Source organism: Homo sapiens, chromosome 6 (assembly GCF_000001405.40).
Source record: "Homo sapiens chromosome 6, GRCh38.p14 Primary Assembly".
In the NCBI taxonomy this organism is placed as follows: domain Eukaryota; kingdom Metazoa; phylum Chordata; class Mammalia; order Primates; family Hominidae; genus Homo; species Homo sapiens.
In genome coordinates this window covers 160,850,465-160,872,578 of record NC_000006.12, presented here as the reverse complement: position 1 = coordinate 160,872,578, position 22,114 = coordinate 160,850,465, and the positions used below count along the sequence as shown (strand labels likewise).

General features: G+C 42.6%; 1 pseudogene; it reads right to left on the bottom strand.

The window, feature by feature from the left end:
• The window catches only part of LOC107986665 (plasminogen-like protein B), a 124,780-nt pseudogene that overhangs the window by 26,130 nt on the left and 76,536 nt on the right, over window positions 1-22,114 (bottom strand).

The following is a 22,114-nucleotide window of genomic DNA, read 5'->3' as shown; positions in this document are numbered from 1 at the left end:
AGTAAAATTAGATAACTAGGAATTCTATTATACTTCTCAAATAAATCATATTCTCTGTAAAAAAAAAAAAAAAAAAAGAAAAGAAGAAAGTAATTGAGAACAGTTCATTTTTTTTATTTGCAGCTCTCCAGTAGTAGCTTTTCATCTCAGGATGAAATACAATAGTTCTTAACAATGGTTTTAAAGGGCCTATTTAGTGTTTAAGTCTCAGTTTTATGTCACTCTCTCTTACCTCATTCTGCTCCAATCACACTGACCTCTATGTTGTTTCCTAATCATCTCAGGTATTTTTCTGGTTCAATGTATTGATACTTGCTCCCCTTTCACCTACCCATATATGATCCCCAAGTTTATTTAAGAGCCCAGAAGGCTAGTGAAAAACAAACAGCAACAATATCAAATTGGGAATCATAAATTGTAGATTATAACAGAAAGCCAACATATTAGTTCTCTGTAAAATGCGAGGCTTTGTATATTGTGTATTTATATTATCCTGGTTGTACCTAGCTGCAAAGGAGATTGGGATAGGCACTTCTTATTCTAAGCAACCATGTGCTACACCAAAAGCTGAAAAAATAAAATAAAAGAATAGATACTGAGTGATAGCTAGCATTCAATACCACAGCCATACAATATTGAAGGTGATGGCTAACCTTTTTTCCCAGTATGTCATGCTTACGAAATTTTTATCTTATATGCCTAATTATCACCTACTACATCCAGAGAGTGGTATATCCTATAAACTCGTATTGGTGAATGTTTAGTTATTTATTAGATTTCTCACACCATACTATCTACTATTTGGGGGGGAAATTTTCCATATTTATTCAGTAAGTTTGTACATTATCTATAAAAATGGATCCATATCTATAACCTTTCAAAAACAATGGCTCTACTATTTGAATAGAATATACATTTAGTTTTAAAGATTGTACTTCCTTGTGCAATCTTTGCAAAATATCCTTCAATATTTGGCTTCATGTTTCTAAGCTGAGTTATTGAACTACTTTCACTTCTTGTATTCACTTTTCACTTCAAAACTGTAAAACAAAATGAGTATTCAGGAGAATACTCATTCCGCAACCTAACAAGACAGGCCAACATTCAAATTCAGAAAATAGAGAGAATACCACTAAGATACTTTTCTAGAAGAGCAACCCCAAGAATATAATTGTCAGATTCTCCAAATTTGAAACAAAAGAAAAAATGTTAAGAGCAGCCAGAGAGAAAAGTCAGGTTACCTTCAAAGGGAAGCCCATCAGACTAACAGTGGATATCTCTGCAGAAACCCTACAAGCCAGAAGAGAGTGAGGGCCAATATTCAACATTCTTAAAGAAAAGAATTTTCAACCCAGAATTCATATCCAGCCAAACTAAGTTTCATAACTGAATAAAATCCTTTACAGAAAAGAAAATGCTGAGGGATTTTGTCACCACCAGGCATGCCTTACAAGTGCTCCTGAAGGAAGCACTAAATATGGAAAGGCAAAACCATTACCAGCCACTGCAAAAACACACCAAAATATAAAGACCAATGACACCATGAAGAAACTGCATCAACTAATGTGCAAAATAACCAGCTAGCATCATCATGGCAGGATCAAATTCACACATAACAATATTAACCTTAAATTTAAATGGGCTAAATGCCCCAATTAAAAGACATAGACTGGCAAACTGGATAAAGAGTCAAGACCCATCGGTGTGCTATATTCAGGAGACCCATCTTACATGCAAAGACACACATAGGCTCAAAAATAAAGAGATGGAGGAATATTTACCAAGCAAATGGAAAGCAAAAAAAAAAGCAGAGTTGCAATCCTAGTCTCTGATAAAACAGACTTTAAACCAACAAAGATCAAAAAAGACAAAGAAGGGCATTATAAATGCAACAATAAGAGCTAACTCTCCTAAATATATATGCACTTAATGCGGGAGCATCCAGTTTTATAAAACAAGTTCTTAGAGACCTACAAAGAGACTTAGACTCCCTGACAATAATAGTGGGAGATTTTAACACTGCATTGTCAATATTTAACACCCCATTGTCAATCAGATCAATGAGACAGAAAATTAACAAGGATATTCAGAACTTGAACTTACCTCTGGACCAAGTGACCTAATAGACATCTACAGAACTCTCCACCCCAAATCAGCAGAATATACATTCTTCTTAGCACCACGTAGCACTTATTCTAAAATTGACCGTATCATTGAAAGTAAAACACTTGGCTGGGCATGGTGGCTCATGCCTGTAATTCCAGCACTTTGGGAGGCTGAGGTGGGCAGATCATGAGGTCAAGAGATTGAGACCATCCTGGGCAACATGGTGAAACCCCTTCTCTACTAAAAATAAAAAAAATTAGCTGGGTGTGGTGGTGCATGCCTGTAGTCCCAGCTACTTGGGAGGCTGAGGCAGGAGAATCGCTTGGCCCGGGAGGTGGAGGTTGCAGTGAGCCGAGATCATGCCACTATACTGCAGCCTGGTGACAGAGCAAGACTGCATCAAAAATAAATAAATAAAAAAAAGTAAAACGCTCTTCAGCAAATGCAAAAGAATGGAAATCATAACCAACAGCCTCTCAGACCACAGTGCAAACACATTAGAATTCAGGATTAAGAAATTCACACAAAACCCCACAACTCCATGGAAACTGAACAACCTGCTCCTGATTGACTACTGCGTAAATAACTAAAGTAAGGCAGAAATAATGAAGTTCTTTGAAACCAATGAGAACAAAGAGACAACGTACCAGAATCTCTGGGACACAGCTAAAGCAGTGTTTAAAGGGAAATTTATAGCACAAAAATGCCAACATCAGAAAGTGGGAAAAATCTAAAATTGACACCCTAACATCACAATTAAAATAACTAGAGAAACAAGAGCAAACAAATTCAAAAGCTAGCAGAAGACAAGAAATAACTAAGATCAGAATAGAACTGAAGGAGATAGAGACATGAAAAACCCTTCAAAAAAATCAATGAATCCAGGAGGTGATTTTTTGAAAAGATTAACAAAATAGATAGACCGCTAGCCAGACTGATGAAGAAAAGAGAGAAGAATCAAATAGACACTATAAAAAGTGATAAAGGGGAGTCACCACTGATCCCACCATCAGAGAATACTGTAAACACCTCTACACAAATAAACTAGAAAATCTAGAAGAAATGGATAAATTCCTGGACACATACACCCTCCCAAGACTAAACCAGTAAGGATTTGAATCCCTGAATAGACCAATAACAAGTTCTGAAATTGAGGCAGTGATTAATAGCCTACCAACCAAAAAAAGCCCAGGACCAGACAGATTCATTGCTGAATTCTACCAGAGATACAAAGAGGAGCTTGTACCTTTCCTTCTCAAACTATTCCAAACAATAGAAAAAGAGGGACTCCTCCCTAATTCATTTTATGAGGCCAGCATCATCCTGATTCCAAAAGCTGGCATAGACACCACAAAAAAAGAAAATTTCAGGCGAATATCCCTGATGAACATTGATGCAAAAATCCTCAATAAGATACTGGCAAACTAAATCCAGTAGCACATCAAAAAGCTGATCCACCATGATCAAGTTGGCTTCATCGCTGGGATACAAGGCTGATTCAACATATGCAAATCAATAAAAGTAATCCATCACATAAACAGAACCAATGACAAAAACCACAGGACTATCTCAATAGATGCAGAAAAGGCCTTCAATGAAATTCAACACCCGTTCATGCTAAAAACTCTCAATAAACTAGGTATTGATGGAACATATCTCAAAATAATAAGAGCTATTTATGACAAACCCATAGCCAATATCATACTGAATGGGCAAAAGCTGGAAGCATTCCCTTTGAAAACTGGCACAAGACAAGGATGCCCTCTCTCACCACTACTATTCAACATAGTATTGGAAGTTCTGGCCAGAGCAATCAGGCAAGAGAATGAAATAAATGGTACTCAAATAGGAAGAGAGGAAGTCAAATTTTCTCTGTTTTCAGATGACATGATTGTATATTTAGAAAACCCCATCATCTCAGCCCAAAAATCCTTAAGCTGATAAACAATTTCAGCAAAGTCTCAGGATACAAAATCAATGTGCAAAAATCACAAGCATTTGTATACACCAATAACAGAGAGGCAGAGAGCCAAATCATGAGTAAACTCCCATTCACAATTGCTACAAAGAAAATAAAATACCTAGTTATACAACTTACAAGGGAAGTGAAGGACCTCTTCAAGGAGAACTACAAACCACTACTCAAAGAAATAAGAGAGGACACAAACAAATGGAAAAAAAATTCCACGCTCATGGATAGGAAGAATCAATATCGTGAAAATGGCCATAGTGCCCAAAGTAATTTATAGATTCAATGCTATTCCCATCAAGCTACCATTGACTTTCTTCATAGAACTAGAAACAACTACTTTAAATTTCATATGGAACCAAAAAAAAAAAAAAAAAAAAAAGAGCCTATATAGCCAAGACAATCCTAAGCAAAAAGAACAAGGCTGGAGGCATCACACTACCTGACTTCAAACTATACTACAAGGCTACAGTAACAAAAATATCATGGTACTGGTACCAAAACAGATATATAGACCAATGGAACAGAACAGAGGCCTCAGAAATAACACCACACATCTACAACCATCTGATCTTTGACACACCTGTCAAAAACAAGCAATGGAGAAAGGATTCTCTTTAATAAATGGTGCTGGGAAAACAGGCTAGCCATATGCAGAAAACAGAAACTGGACCCCTTTCTTACACCTTATACAAAAATTAACTCAAGATGGATTGAAGAGTTAAACGTAAAACCGCAAGCCATAAAAACCCTAGAAGAAAACCTAGGCAATACCATTCAGGACATAGGCATGGGCAAAGACTTCAAGATGAAAACACCAAAAGCAATCGCAACAAAAGCCAAAATTGACAAATGGGATCTAATTAAACTAACGAGCTTCTGCTCAGCAAAAGAAGCTATCATCAGAGTGAACAGACAACCTACAGGATGGGAGAAAATTTTTGCAATCTATTTATCTGACAAAGGGCTAATATCTAGAATCTACAAGAACTTAAACAAATGTACAAGAAAAAAACAAACAACCCCATCAAAAAGTGGGCAAAGGATATGAACAGACACTTCTCAAAAGAAGGCATTTATGCTACCAACAGACATATGAAAAAAAGCTCATCATCCCTGGTCATTAGAGAAATGTAAATCAAAACCACAATGAGATACAATCTCACGCCAGTTAGAATGGCGATCATTAAAAAGTCTGGAAACAACAGATGCTGACAAGGATGCAGAGAAATAGGAATGCTTTTACACTGTTGGTGGGACTGTAAATTAGTTCAACCATTGTGGAAGGCAGTGTGGCAATTCCTCAAGGATCTAGAAGCAGAAATACCATTTGACCCAGCAATGGGTTACTGGGTATATACCCAAAGGATTATAAATCATTCTACTATAAAGACACATGCACACATGCACACAAAGGCCCATTGCCAAGCCTTTCTATGTCTCATAACCCGGGGTTGCATGGAGAACTCAAGCCAAGGATGGGAGGGTGGCCCTGTGCACACCTCCATCCCAGGACAAGGCCCTTCTGCAGAGCAGAGCACATGGGCTGGGATTGCTAGGAGCAGTGGTATGCATGGGGACTTCTGGGGGCACTTAGTAGTCAGTCCTTAATGTTTATTGCAGCACTATTTACAATAGCAAAGACTTGGCACCAACCCAAATGCCCATCAGTGATAGACTGAATAAAGGAAATGTGGCACATATACACCGTGGAATACTATGCAGCCATAAAAAAGAATGAGTTCATGTTCTTTCCAGGGACATGGATGAAGCTGGAAACCATCATCCTCAGCAAACTAACACAGGAACAGAAAACCAAATACCGCATGGTCTCACTCATAAGTTGGAGTTGAACAATGAGAACACATGGACACAGGGAGGGGAACATCACATATGGGGGCCTGTCTAGGGGTGGGGAAATGGGGAGGGAGAGGATTAGGACAAATACCTAATCTGTGCAGGGCTTAAAACCTAGATGACAGGTTGATAGGTGCAGCAAACCACCATGGCACACGTATAGCTATGTAACAAACCTGCCCATTCAGCACACGTATCCCAGAACTTAAAGTAAAATCAATAAATATAAATAATAAAAAACTAGGCACAGTAAGAGGTTAACAATAAAACTAATAATAAAATGGAACAATTATAACAATATACTGTGATAAGAGTTATGTGACTGTGGTCTCTCTCGCTCTTACAGTATCTTATTCTGCTGCACTCACCTATATTCAGACCACAGAAAGCAAAACCATGAATTAGAGGGCATTACTGTGCACGTGTAGAGATTGAAGCACTTTACACAGAACACACTTATGTAACCGGCACCCAGACCAAGTCATGGAACACCAGGAGCACCCGCCGAGACCCTGGGGACCCATCGCCACCACTTCTCCCAAGGCAACAGCTTCCAAAACTGGAGGCTCGGTTTATGTACTTAATTCAATGTGTCTCTGTCTTGATTAACATTTATTATGAAAGTATCATGTTCTTTATAGTCCTTCAAGCAGTACTGAAGTAATGATGGTAATAAAAGTCCATTCTCAATTAATAGTTACTATCGCCCCCAATGAATCAGGTTCTGTACTCCTTGTGGGGTTTTTGGGGAATGCTAACTGGAAAAATATCTAAGGTTTGGCCACCCGGTTGGCAAGATCTTTGGGAGGCACAGAAGACCTCCTGAGTTCCCTTAAGCCATGCTGTTTTTCAGTCTTTCTCCCTCAGCCTCGGTAGAGGGTAAATGGGATTTTTCTTCCAACAACCACCTGGGATGCGAGTCTTGATGCTCACTGGAGGGATAGGATAGGGGTGTCATAAAACAGAGAAAATTCTACGTATGGGTACAGAGTTCTCTTGCACTTTGCCAAAATTATAGATGTAAACATCATAGTGAATCTAACCTCCTGTTGATCCCATCGGGAGGGCACGTAAAATAAGTGTGTCCTGGTGCCAACAGTGGGAAGCCAGGGATAGATTTACACCATAGTAGTGGGCATTTGTGAGGTCCACACAACAGAATGTAGAGAGCCCCCAAGCACGTCGACTGCAGCACAAAGCTGGGGTGGGAGGAGTTGCTGGACCAACACTGTGGTGGGATTCAGGGCTCCTCCAGGTTGGGTCTCTGACCTCAAAGTCCAGCATCTGTGTGGTCAGTCACCAGGAGGTTCAAAGCGCATCTCCAAGCCTTTCTATGTCGGGTAACCAGGAGTCCATGGAGAACTCAAAGCAAGGAGAGAACTGAGCCCCATGTGAAATCAGGGAAATAATCAAAGGGGACAACGGATGGTTTGGGGAAATGTGTTTGCTCCTAGTGCTCACTTTAGAAAAAAATACATGTTTATAAAAAATGCACACTGCATATTTTTCTTGCCGAAGTGCCCTTAGCAATCTCCTCTCATCTTGATAGCTTTGCCCTTCTTCTGCCAGATTCCCAAGCAGAGAGTTAGCATGAAGTCTCGGAGGCACAGGTGTAACATCTCCAGTTGAAGGGACAAATGAAACATGGCTGAGTAAATGCAGGATTTACAAATCACCACACCAGGTGATCTGGGCCCAGGTGCTCTTGCTTGTGCTGGATTGCTTTCATCGGCAGTGCACGAAGCCCAAATAAAATAACCCCACCCATCTACCCTTCCTTGCATGCTCTGGAAGACAGTCCTGGGGGAAGAACCTAATTTCACCTCATTTTTACAAAATTTACCCCCACATGTTCTGGGAGGAAAGCAATAAATAATTAACAATGCATGAACATGTCAAATGGAAAAAGGAAAATGCCTTTCAGATTATGTAATACGAATGACTTTTGTTCTTGGTTTGCGGATTAGGAAATTAGCCATGTTTCCCTGTGTTTGACAGAATTTGGGCAACCTCTTCAGCGGCTCGTTGTGCAGTTTCTATAGAGTTATGTGAAGCAACTGATTGTTCCTGGAAGATGACGGCGATGCCTGCAATCGAATAGATGGCAATAAAGCGTTCAACTGTATCCACTGAGGCAGCGGACATGGGCTGAGGGTAGAGAGTCTATGGCTCTGGGATGCCTGGCAAGGCCTCTCCAGTTCCTGCAGTCCTGAACCGCAGGGGTGGCGGGCACAGGCCGCTAGATTAGGGAGGACATGGCGGGAGCTGGAAGGAGGGGTTCAACTGGGATCTCTGGTGCAAACGTGGATTAAACAAAAAGACACACATTCATTTTTGAAACTCTACTGTTTTTGTGTAGAAATAAAATATGTTAAGATTCCATGCGGGTAAATCGACAGGAGACCCCCGGAAGAACAGGCGCCTCCCTGCCAGGTAGCCCACCCGGCCTGCCTCCTGTGCGCTGGCCTCTGAGGCCTCAGGCGTGGGGACTGGCAGGAGGCCCGCTGGGGCGGAGAGAGAACTCTGGAGCTTGGGGGGAGGAAGGTGTGACGAAGCCTGGGTCCCTGTCCCTAAGGGGTCCTGAGGCTCTGGGCCCCGCCCTGAGTCCATGACTGGCCTCCGCTCTGTGAGGAGAGCAGGCCCTGCATCCTCAGCAACCAGTGCTCCCTCCAGCCTCCGCGCAATTCAGCTGCAGCTGCTGCACAGACCCACAGAAGCCACCCTCCCTCGGAACCAGCGCCCGATGAGAAGGTGGGACCTGCGCTCCTCCACACCAAGCCAGGTGCTGGGGTAAGCGTAGGAGGCGACACGCAGAATGGGAGGGTGGCACCGCCCACGCCTCCGTCCCAGGACCAGCCCCTTCCTGAGAGCACAGGGGCTGGGGTCGCTAGGAGCAGTGAGTATGCATTGGGACCCCCAGGGGCAATTGGTAGTCAGCTCTTCATACTCCTTCAAAGGAAAAGCAGTCCAGGGTTGTATGAAGTCATGTACTTTTCAATCCAACAAGTTGTATGGTGTCCAGTGCCTCCTGCGTGTTGAGGGGCCAGTTATATAAGAGTGCACGAAGTAGACCCAATTCTGAGACTGAAGTTACCAAAGGAGGGGAGTGTAAGTTAAATGCATCCCATAGTGGGTACAGGAAATTCAACTGAATTCAACCAAAACCGATTGAATGGCTGCTGTGTTCTGGGAACTGTGACAGATGGTGGGGTTATGAGACTGAACTGGATCATCTGTGAAACACACATGGCTGTAATTTAGGGGCAAGCATAATTTTTTTCATAGGGCAACTGTGAAATGGTATGGACCCCACAGGGGAAAAAAGAAAATCCCCCCAGTGGGGGAAAGGAAGGGCTTCGAGGAGGAGTGGGCATTTATGTTGGGCTGTCTGTCCTTTAAGCATTCAATGTGCTAACAAGGTAAAATGTGAACAGAAAGAGTGGACTCCCAGTTATTTTTGCAGATTCTGTCTTGGATGGAAGAAAGCACCAAAACTAAGAGCTTTTGGCTAAGGAGGCTGCCGGTCCCTGGGAGTCATTCTCTCCTACTGCATCCTGTTGTCCATCAGTCTTCCAGGAAAACCAGTGGGCCCTGATCTAGAGATCAGGATTCCCGCAGTGACGGAATACATTGTTTTTGCTGACTTCCTTGCTGTGGGACCCCATACACCTGGGAATATCATCAAGGTATGGGAAAGGAGGGCCCTTTCCCCCTTCCTATGCCAAGAGAGTTTGTAGCCAGAGCTGAACCAGACTCGAAGAGTTCATAAAACTCCATAATTATAATAATGACCTACCAATACTTTGACTGTGGCACCTAGAGAATCATGTGGCTCCTGCTCATTAGCATACTCTCTGTGCCCTGATGACATTGACTGGTGTTCTAGCCCTTGAAGAGGGAAGAGCTGTGCTGGCTTCAAAGTGTCTGTCTCTCTGTTGGCTGCATGGTGGAAGATGCTGTATGTATTTCCTTGTTCTAGGTGTATATGCAGTTGGGTTAAATGGTGGCTCAGTACTGAATACTTGGTGTGTATATGCAGTTGGGTTAAATCACCATTTAACCCAACTGCATATACTGAACCATATTCAGGCTGAGTACTGAATGGTGAGTGGTATTTTCCTTCCAGATGAGGACTCTGACCTTAGGAATTTCCAGCAGGTGGCATTTCATAGTAATGGACTCTGACATACACAAATGGGACATTCATCTCCATTGGCTACTCTTGTAGGCTGTGATGTGGCAATGAGTCTGTTTAATCTCCAGGATCCCAGAGTTTACATCCTCTGAGCTGGGTACTGGATCCTTCGCCAGTGTTAGTGAGATTCTGGGCAGGGCTTTCCCTACCAATGGAAACAGGCACAAGGGCCTGCACTGTCTGGGCGTGCACTCCCACCTCCCTTCCTCGACACTGGTTGGGGGAATAGCTCAGATGTGCTCTAGTTTCCTTCTGGCAGCTTCTAAGTGAAGGTCTGACTGCATTCTCCTGGGATGCCCCGTCACCGACTCTTTATATACTAGGTCTCATTGACAAAAGAGCACTTTCAGAGTCTGCAGTTCAAAGGGCCCAACCCTCTCTCTGTGGCCCCAACCTCGTTAAGGACCTGCTCTCAGAACTCCACCCACGGGCTGCACCTGAAACACAGGCTCCCACCTCAGGAAGCTTTTGGCAGTGCAAGGTGGAGATCAAGACCTTGCTGATATAATCAAAGTTTCTTGGTAGTTTACATATTATTAGCAAAATTACACTTTTACCCACTTCAGAGACAATCATGACTCAACAGGCTGAAAACCCTCACTGAGGCCCTGAAGACCCAAATAAATTTTTCAAAATTTTGAGAGAATGTTAAATGACTTCTTTTCAGATAAAGGTTGTAGGCCCTAAGAGGTCTTTTAATTGGGCTGTTACATCTATGCTCAGGTTTAAGGCTGGGTTGGTTAAATTGACAGGTGTCCCAGATTCTGCCCGAAGTAAGTGGCAAATATTTGTTAAATAATTCATAATTCCACGTTATATTTTTGTTGTAATATATTTGTATATTTGTGTGTAGTACATTTGTATCATATTACACACTCCTTTGCCTTTTTAATCTGAGTACTGTGAACCTAATTTAATCTTCTCTAGACTAATTTAAATTATTGATTATAAGCCTTGGCGAAAGCTGGGTCCCTGTCCCTAAGGGGTCCTGATGCTCTGGGCCCCACTCTGAGTCCATGACTGGCCTCCCCTTTGTGAGGAGAGCAGGTCCTGCATCATCAGGCAACCAGCGCTCTCTCCAGCCTCCTGTGCATTTCAGCTGGTGCCGCAACTGCTGCACAGAGACCCACAGAAGCCACCCTCAGAACCAGCGCCTCATGGGAAGGCCGCTGGATGCCTTCAGGGCCTAGCCAGGACCCAGCCTCTGGAATCAAGTGCCCCAGACCACTGTGGTTTTATGTGTTATTTGTATCTTTCATGAATTTTATTATGCTACCAGTCATTCTTGTCTGGTTCTAGCACCATCTCACCAATTCCCACCAGCACATCTGATATATTATAGGCTAGAAGTCAAAATATCCAAAGGCATATTTTATATTATATAAATGATTGCATGTGTATATACATATATATATATACTCAGATGTGATATGCACACATGTGCATGCACGCACGCACACACTGATTTAAGCACTGAGAGTAAATGTGTAGGACTCACTGTATTTGGTAAAATGTCAGGTTTTGTGAGGTTTTGTGATGTTTGTTTTCATTGGGATTAGATATTCCATTGAATTTTGGGTTCAGGGCCAAGAGGGTTAAGTTAGCCGTAAATCTCCTGGCTTCTAACCTAGATAACAGATGTTATAAAAATGGAGTAAGAATTTTAGGCAGAAATGAGCAATGGAATGGGAATCGTGTTTCTATATTTCTTGTACTCAGTATGGTTTTTCAATGGTTGAAATGAAAATAATGTACTGGCTTGGCAAGGTGGATAACGCCTGTAATCCTAGCACTTTGGGAGGCCGAAACAGGTGGATCACCTGAGGTCAGGAGTTTGACACCAGCCTGACTGACATGGTGAAACCCCATCTCTACTAAAAATAGAATAATAATAATAATAATAATTAGCCATGTGATGTGCATCTGTAATCCAAGCTGCTTGGGAGGCTGAGGCAGAAGAATTGCTTGAACTAGGGAGGGGGAGGTTGCAGTGAGCCAAGTGCACCTTTGCACTCCAGCCTGGGGGACAAGATGGAAAATCCATCACACACACAAAAAGAAAACATACAAAATATTTTACTCCATTAATGTAAAGGAAAAGATCTAGACCCCTGGGCCCCTCCCCTGCTGCACTTTGGTATGTTGGTTCATTCATTTATTCCACAAACATGAGGGCGCCATGTCCAGGAACCAGATTAAAAAGACAGCCCTGGCCTCGTATTTCAGCTGACAAGGCAGCCAATGGACATTTCCCAAATCACACAGGCCCCAGGACCAAAAACGACCATGAGGGAGAGCGTTTGGGATGAAGGCTCAGCCAGAGACCTGGGAGGGCAGCACAGGCGTTCCCATGATCCCTTCTGCAGTGCACAACACTGCAGCACGGGCTTGACAGCCCCGACAGGGCAAAGCCTGCAGCTCAGCTCATCATCAGCCAGACCCAGCCACTCCCCCGCTGTGTTGGGAGAACACAGGGAGTGGCTGTTGTGCACCAGTGCCCTTCCTGTTCCTGCACAAGTTCGCTTTCCAAGAGCTACTCAGTACAAATGAGCGTAATTTTCTCTTTATTTTCATTATTTTATTTTATTAACTGACAAACAATAATTGTATATATTCATCGGGTACCTAGTGAAGTTTTGTTATATATAATGTATAGCGATCAGATCAGAGTAATTAGCATATCCATTGTCTCAAATATTTATCATTCCCTGTGGTGGGGATGTTCAATATCCTCCTTCCAGCTATTTGAAACTATTATATATTATACTACTGTTAACCCTGATCACCCTGCAGCGGCATAGAACACTAGGACTTCTTCCTTCTGTGTGGCTGTGACTTTGCGTGCTTTAACAAATATCTCCCTATGCCCCTTCCCCTAACTTCCCAGCCTCTAGTATCCTCTGTTGTGCTTGTTACTTCAATTAGATTCACTGTATTTTTAGCTTCCATATATGAGTAAGAACATGTGGTGTTTAACTTTCTGTTCTTGGCTTGTTTCACTTTACATAATGTTCTCCAGTTCCATCCATGATGCCATGAATGACAGGATTTCATTCTGTTTTATGGCTGAATAGTGTTAACGTGAAGTAAATATGGCCTGAGAAGGGCTCCGTACTTCGGTATTTGAGTCCTCGTGGATGAACCGTAAACCAACTTAACAGGTAGACAAGATTGAAACCCCAAATTAGGAGTCTGCACCTGTAACAATTGCTGAGTCTTGGCCAATCCCAGCAGCTGTACTTCAACTACTCATACACTGCTGAGTGTTCAAACCATGTTCAAATAAGGCAAACACCAACCTGTAACCAATCCAGCTGTTTCTATACCTCACTCCCGATTTCTACATGTCACTTTACTTTTTATGTCTATAAATTTGTTCTGATGATGAGGCACCTCTGGAGTCTCTCTGAATCTGCTGTGATTCTGGGGGCTGTGCGATTCATGAATCATTCGTTGCTCAGCTAAGCTCTTTTAAATTTAATTTGGCTGAAGTATTCCATTGTTAAAATAAAAACCTTAGATAAATTAAATTTAAGAGTTTAACTAAGCAAGAACTATTCATGAATTTGGCAGTCCCCAAACCAGAAAAGGTTCAAAGACCTCACACTGTCTCTGGTTGGTGGGGTGGCAGGGTGGGGGGGGGGGCGGCAAGAATTCATGGAGAGAAAAAGGAAAGTGATACACAGAAAATGGAAGAGAGGTATAGAACCACCTGGTTGTTACAGCACGGTGTTTGCCTTTTTTGAACATGGTTTGAGCAGTTGGCTGCCTGTGATCGGCTGATTAGTAGTGTGCTAATTACTACTTGGTGATTAGTACAAGAGTGGGTTACAGTCTGTTTACCCTCCCATTAGCTAAAAGCTCACTGTGTATGAAGAAACCTTCAGATCCAACTTACAAAGAGGCAGCGTCAGGCTAAATTCAATATAATAGAGTAGGTACCACATTTCCTGTATCCATTTGTCCCTGGATGGACCCCTGGGTAGATTCCATATCTTGGCTATCATGACTGTGCTACAGTAACATGGGGTATGGATGCCTCTTGGATATACGGTTACCTTTCCTTCAAACAGATGCCCAGTGGGGGATGACTGGTGAACCCAGAGAAAAGATGACAGTGAACCCAGAGAGAAGATGACTGTGAACCCAGGGAAAAGATGACAGTGAACCCAAAGAAAAGATGACAGTGCACCCAGAGAAGAGATGATGGTGAACCTAGAAAAAACACAATGGTGAACCCAGTGAAAACATGAACGTGAACCTAGATAAAGGTGACAGTGAACCCAGAGAAAAGGTGACAGTGAACCCAGAGGAGAAAAAATGATAAGGCACCCAGAGAAAAGATGACAGTGAACCCAGAGAAAAAATGACGGTGAACCGAGAGAAAAGACAATGGGGAAACACGAGAAAAGATGATGGTGAACCCAGAGAAAAGACGACAGTGAACCCAGAGAAAAGATGACAGTGAACTCAGAGAAAAGAAGACAGTGAACCCAGAGTACAGGCGACAGTGAACCCAGAGAAAAGAGACAGTGCACCCAGAGAAAAGATGACGGTGAACACAGAAGAAATATGACAGTGAAACCAGAGAAAAGATGACAGAGAATCCAGAGAAAAGATGACGGTGCACCCAGAGAAAATACAAAAATGAACTCAGAGAAGAGATGATGGTGAACCCAGAGAAAAGACAACAATGAATCAAGAGAAAATACAATAGTAAGCCAAGAAAAAAGATGACAGTGCACCCAGAAAAAAGAGGATGGTGAACCCAGAGAAAATTCAAAGTTGAACCCAGAAAATAAAGGACGGTGAACCCAGAGAAAATTCAATGGTGAACCCCCAAAAAGATGACAGTAAAACCAGAGAAAAGACAATGGTGCACCCAGAGAAAATATAAAAGGGGACCCAGAGAAGAGATGACAGTGAATGCAGAGAAAAGATGACAGTGAACCCAGAGAAAAGATGATGGTGGACCCAGAGAAAAGATGATGGTGAACCCAGAGAAAAGATGATGGTGAACCCAGAGAAAAGATGATGGTGAACTCAGAGAAAAGACGAAGGTGAACCCAAACAAAATATAACAGTGAACCCAGAAAAATACAACAGTGAACCCAGAAAAAAGAGACAATGCACCCAGAGAAGAGACAACAGTGAACCCAGAAAAAATACGAAAGCGAACCCAGAGGAAAGACAATGGTGAATCCAAAAAGACGACAGTGAACCCAGAGTAAAAATGATGGTGCACCCAGAGAAAAGACAACAGTGCACTCAGACAAAATACAATAGAGAACCCAGAGAAAAGACGACAGTGAAACCAGGGAAAATACAACAGTGAACCCAGAGATAAGATGACAGTGCACCCACAGAAAAGACGACAATGAATCAAGAGAAAAGATGACAGTGCACCCAGAGAATAGACAACGGTTAACCCAGAGAAAAAAACCACAGTGAACTCAGAGAAAAGACGACCGTGCACCCAAAGAAAAGACGACAGTGAGCCCAGAGAGAAGATGACAGTGAACCCAGATAAAAGATGACAGTGAACCCAAAGAAAAGACGATGGTGGACCCAGGGAAAAAACGAGAGTGAACACAGAAAAAAAACGATGGTGAAGCCAGAGAAAAAATGACAGCACATCAAGAGAAAAGACAATAGTGAACCCAGAGAAAAGATGATGATGCATAAAGATAAAAGACCACAGTGAACCCAGAGAACTGACAACGGTGAACACAAATAATATCCTACATTGAACCCAGAGAAAAGATGACAGTGAACCTGGAGAAAAGAAGACGGTGCACCCAGAGAAAATACAACAGCGAACGCAGAGAAAAGATGACGGTTTACCCCAAGAAAATACAACAGTGCACCAAGAGGAAAGGTGACAGTACACTCAAAGAAAGGAAGGCATTGCATTAAGAGAATATTAGACAGTGAACTCAGAGAAAAGATGTCAGTGAACCCACAGAAAAGATGACGGTGCACCCAGAAAAAATATGACAGTGAACCCAGAGAATTGACAATGGTGAGCCAAGAGAAAATATGAAGGGGCACCCAGAGAAAAGACGATGTTGAACCCAGAAAAAAATATGACAGTGAACCCAAGAAAAGATGACAGTGTACCCAGAGAAAAGACAACAGTGAATCCAGAAAGCATATGATGGTAAACCCAGAGAAAAAATGATGGTGCACCCAGATAATATTCAATAGTGAACCCAAAGAAAAGATGACGGTGAACCCAGAGAAAAGACGACAATGAACCCAGAAAAAAGACTACAGTGAACCCACAGAAAAGACAACAGTGCACCCAGAGAAAATACAATGGTGAAACCAGAGAAAAGAGGACAGTTACTCAGAGAAAATATGACGGTGCACCAAGAGAAAAGATGACAGGGCAACAGAGAAATGATGACAGTGGACCCAGAGAAAAGATGACAGTGGACCCAGAGAAAAGATGACAGTGAACTCGGAGAAAAGACAATGGTGAACCCAGAGAAAAGATGACAGTGAACCCACAGAAAGGACAAAGTTGCACCGAGAGAAAAAATGATGGTGAACTCAGAGAAAAGATGACAGTAAACCCAGAGAAAAGATGATGGTGAACCAAGAGAAAAGATGATAGTGCACCCAGAGAAAAGATGATGGTGTACCCAGAGAAAAGATGATGGTGTACTCAGGGAAAAGACAATGTTGAACCCAGAGAAAAGATGACAGTGAACCAAAAAAAGACAAAGGTGTACCCAGAGAAAAGACGATGGTGCACCCAGAGAAAAGGCAACAGTGAGCCCAGAGAAAAGACAACAATGAACGCAGAGAAAAGATGATGGAGATCCCAGAGAAAAGATGACAGTGAATACAGAGAAAAGACAATGGTGAACCCAGAGAAATGACAACGGTGAACCCGGAGAAAAGATGACACTGAACCCAGAGAAAAGACGACAGTGAAACCAAAGAAAAGATGATGGTGAACCCAGAAAAAAGATGACAGTGAACCCAGAGAAAAGACAGTGAACCCAAAGAAAACATGATGGTGAACCCAGAGAATCAACAACGGTCAACCAGGAGAAAAGATGACAATGCACCCAGAGAAAAGATGACAGTGAACCCAGAGAAAAGATGATGATGGACCCAGAGAAAAGACAACAGTGAACCCAGAGAAAAGACGACGGTGGTCCCAGAGAAAAGATGACAGTGAACAAAGAGAAAAGATGACAGTGAACCCAGAGAACAGACAGTGAAAAAATGATGGTGAACCCAGAGAAAAGACGATGATGAACCCAGAGAAAAGACGATGGTGAACCCTGAGAAAAGACAATGGTGCTTCCAGAGAAAAGACGACAGTCAACCCAGAGAGAGTACGACAGTGAACCCAGAGAAAGGATGACAGTGAACCCAGAGAAAAGAGGACAGTGAATCCAGAGAAAATACAACAATGACCCTGGGGAAAAGACAGCAGTACACCCAGAGAAAAGATGAAAGTGAATCAGAGACAATACAACAGTGAATCCAGAGAAAAAAATGACAGGAGACCCAAAGAAAAGACAACAGTTCACCCAGAGAAAAGACGTCAGTGAATCAAGAGAAAATACAACAGCGAACCCAGAGAAAAAATGACCGTAAACCCAGAGAAGAGATGACAGTGCACCCAGAGAAAAGACAATAATGCACCCAGAGAAAAGATGACAGTGAGCCCAAAAAAGGGCAACGGTGAATCCAGAAGAAAGACAAGAGTGAACACAGAGAAAAGATGATGGTGAAGCCAGAGAAAAGACAACAGTGCATCCAGAGAAAAGAAAACAATGAACCCAGAGAAAAGATGACAGTGAACCCATAGAAAAGATGACAGTGATCACAGACGACGGTGAACCCAGAGAAAAGACCACAGTGAATCCAGAGAAAATACAACAGTGACCCCAGAGAAAAGACAGCAGTGCACCTAGAGAAATGGCGACGGTGCTTCCAGAGAAAAGACGACAGTCAATCCAGAACAAATACGAAAGTAAAACCAGAGAAAAGATGACAGTGAATCCAGAGAAAATATAAGAGTAACCCCGAAGAAAAGACGACAGTACACCCAGAGAAAAGATGACAGTGAATCAAGAGAAAGTACACAGTGAACCCAGAGAAAAGATGACAGGGAATCCAAAGAAAAGACGACAGTGCACCCAGAGAAAAGATAACAGTGAACCCAGAGAAAAGTTGACAGTGAACTCAGAAGAAATGACGGTGCACCCAGAGAAAAGATGACAGGAAACCCAAAGAAAAGATGATGGTGTACCCAGAGAAAAGAAGACAATGAACTCAGAGAAAAGATGACGATGAACCCAGAGAAAAGACGATAGTGTACCCAGAGAAAAGATGATGGTGAACCTAGAGAAAAGACGACAGTGAACACAAAGAAAAGACGACAGTGAACGCAGAGAAAAGATTAGAGTGAACCCAGAGAAAAGACAACAATGAAATCACAGAAAAAAATGGCAGTGCACCCAGAGAAAAGAAGACAGTGAACCCAGAGAAAAGATGGTGGTGAACACAGAAAAAAGATGACAGTGAACCCATAGAAAAGACAACGGTGAACCCAGGAAAAGATGATAGTGCAGCCAGACGATGCACTATCGTGAGAGAGAAGACGGTGAGGAAGCCAGGGAAATGACAAAAGTGCATCTAGAGAAAAGGTGACAGTGAACTCAGAGAACAGACAGTGAACCCAGAGAAAAGACAGCAGTGAACCCAGGGAATCAACAACGGTGAACCCAGAGAAAAGACGACGGTGCATCCAGAGAAAAAGGGACCCAGAGAATCGACAATGGTGAACCCAGAGAACATACGACAGTGAACGCAGAGAAAAGACGACGGTGCACCCAGAGAATATACAACAGTGAACCCAGAGAAAAGACTATGGTGAACCCAGAGAAAAGGCGACAGCGAATTCAGAAATAAGACGACAGTGAACCCACAGAACAGTGAACCCAGAGAAAAGATCATGGTGAACCCAGAGAAAATATGACAGTGAACCCAGAGAAAAGATGACAGTGAGCCCAGAGAAAAGACGACGGTGAACCCAGAGAAAAGATGACAGCGCATCCAGAGAAAAAGGGACCCAGAGAATCAACAATGGTGAACCCAGAGAACATACGACAGTGAACCCAGAGAGATGACGAGAGTGAACCCAGAGAAAAGACTACGGTGCACCCAGAGAATATACAACAGTGAACCCAGAGAAAAGACGATGGTGAACCCAGAGAAAAGGTGACAGCGAATTCAGAAATAAGACGACAGTGAACCCACAGAACAGTGAACCCAGAGAAAAGATCACGGTGAACCCAGAGAAAATACGACAGTGAACCCAGAGAAAAGATGACAGTGAGCCCAGAGAAAAGACGACGGTGAACCCAGAGAAAAGATGACAGTGAACCCAGAGAAAAGACGATGGTGAACCCAGAGAAAATACAAAAGTGAACCCAGAAAAGACGACGGTGGACCCAGAGTAAAGACAATGGTGCACCCAAAGAAAAGATGACAGTACACCCAGAGAAAAGACAAGGGTGCACCCAGAGAAAAGATAACAATGAACCCAGAGAAAAGACGACAGTGAACCCAGAGTAAAGACGACAGTGAACCCAGAGAAAAAACGACAGTCAACCCAGAGAAACGACGGTGAACCCAGAGAAAAGAAGAAAGTGAATCCAGAGAAAAGATGACGGTGAACCCAGAGAAAAGATGGCAGTGAACCCAGAGAAATAACGACGGTGCACCTATCTTTTCTCTGGGGTCACTGTTGTATTTTCTCTGTATTCACTGTCATCTTTTCCCTGGGTTCACTGTCGTCTTTTCTCTGGGTGCACCGTCGTCTTTTCTTTGGGTTCACTGTTGTCTTTTCTCTGGGTTCACTGTTGTATATTCTCCGGGTCCACTGTTGTCTTTTCTCTGGGTTCACTGTCGTCTTTTCTCTGGGTGCACCATAGTCTTTTCTCTGGGTTCACTGTTGTATATTCTCCGGGTTCACTGTCGTCTTTTCTCTGGATGCACCGTTGTCTTTTCTCTGGATGCACTATCATCTTTTCTCTGGTTCCACTGTTGTATTTTCTGTGGGTTCACTGTCATCTTTTCTCTGGGTTCACTGTCATCTTTTCTCTGAGTTCACTGTCATCTTTTCTCTCAGTTCACTGTCATCTTTTCTTTGGGTTCATTGTCATCTTTTCTCTGTCTGCACTGTCGTCTTTTCTGTGAGTTCGTTGTCATCTTTTCTCTGAGTCACTATTGTATATTCTCTGAGTACACTGTTGTGTTTTTTCTGGGTGCATCACTGCTTTTTCTGTGTTCACTGTCATCTTTTCTCTGGGGTCACTGTTTCATTTTCTCTGGATTCACTGTTGTGTTTTCTCTGGGTTCACTGTCACCTTTTCTCTGAGTTCATCATTGTCTTTTTTCTAGGTTCACCGTCATCTTTTCATTGGGTTCACTGTTGTGTATTCTCTGGGTACACTGTCGTGTTTTTTCTGGGTGCATCTGTCATCTTACTCTGGGGTCACTGTCATCTTTTCTCTGGGGTCACTGTGGCATTTTCTCTGGATTCGCTGTCATCTTTTCTCTGGGGTCACCGTCATCTTTTCTCTAGGTTCACCGTCATCTTTTCTCTGGTTGCCCCATCGTCTTTTCTCTGAGTTCACTGTCGTCTTTTTTTCTGGATTCACTTTTGTATTTTCTCTGGATTCACTGTCTTCTTTTCTCTGGGTGCACTGCCGTATTTTCTCTGGGTTCATTGTCACCTTTTCTCTGGGTTCACTGTCATCTTTTCTCTGGGTGCACTATCGTGTTTTCTCTGGGTGCACAATCATCTTTTCTCTGGGTTCACTGATTTTTTTTTCTCTGGGTTAACTATTTTATATTCTCTGAGTACACTGTCGTCTTTTTTCTGGGTGCATCGTCGCCTTTTCTCTGTCTTCACTGTCATCTTTTCTCTGGGGTCACTGTTGCATTTTCTCTGGCTTCACTGTTGTCTTTTCTCTGGTTTCACTGTTGTCTTTTCTCTGGGTTCATCGTCATCTTCTCTCGGGGTTCACTGTCGTCTTTCTTCTGGGTTCATCATCGTCTTTTCTCTGGATTCACTGTCAACTTTTCTCTGGGTTCACTGTTGTATTTTCTTTGGGTTCACTGTTGTGTTTTCTCTGAATTCATCATTGTCTTTTCTCTGGGTTCACTGTTGTATTTTCTCTGCTTTCACTGTCATCTTTTTTCTGAGTTCACTGTTGTCTTTACTCTGGGAGCAACATTGTCTTTTCTCTGGGTTCACTGTCATGTTTTCTCTGGGTTCACTGTTGTATTTTCTTCAGGTTCACTGTCATTTTCTCTTTTGGCTTACTGTCACCTTTTCTCTGGGTGCACCATCATCTTTTCTCTGAGTTCACTGTCGTCTTTTCTCTGGGTTCACTGTCATCTTTTCTCTGGGTTCACTCTTGTATTTTCTTAGATTCACTGACATCTTTTCTCTGGCTGCACTGTTGCCATTTTTCTGGGTTCACTGCCGTCTTTTCTGTGGGTTCAGTGTCATCTTTTTTCTGGGTTCACTGTCTTCTTTTCTCTTTGTTCACCATTGTCTTTTCTCTGGGTTCACTGTTGTCGTTTCTCTGGGTGCACTGTTGTCTTTTCACTGGGTTCACTGTGGTATATTTTCGGGTACACTGTCTTGTTTTTTCTGGATGCATTGTCATCTTTTTTCTGTGGTCACTGTTGCATTTTCTCTGGATTCACTGTCATCTTTTCTCTGGGTTCACCATCATATTTTCTCTGGTTTCACTGTCTTCTTTTCTCTGGTTCACCATCATCTTTTCTCTGGTTGCACCGTCGTCTCTTCTCTGGGTTCACTTTCATCTTTTCTCTGGATTCACTGTTGTATTTTCTCTGGATTCATTGTCAACTTTTCTCTGGGTTCACTGTCGTCTTTCCTCCGGGTTCACTGTCATCTTTTCTCTGGGTGCACCTTCGTCCTT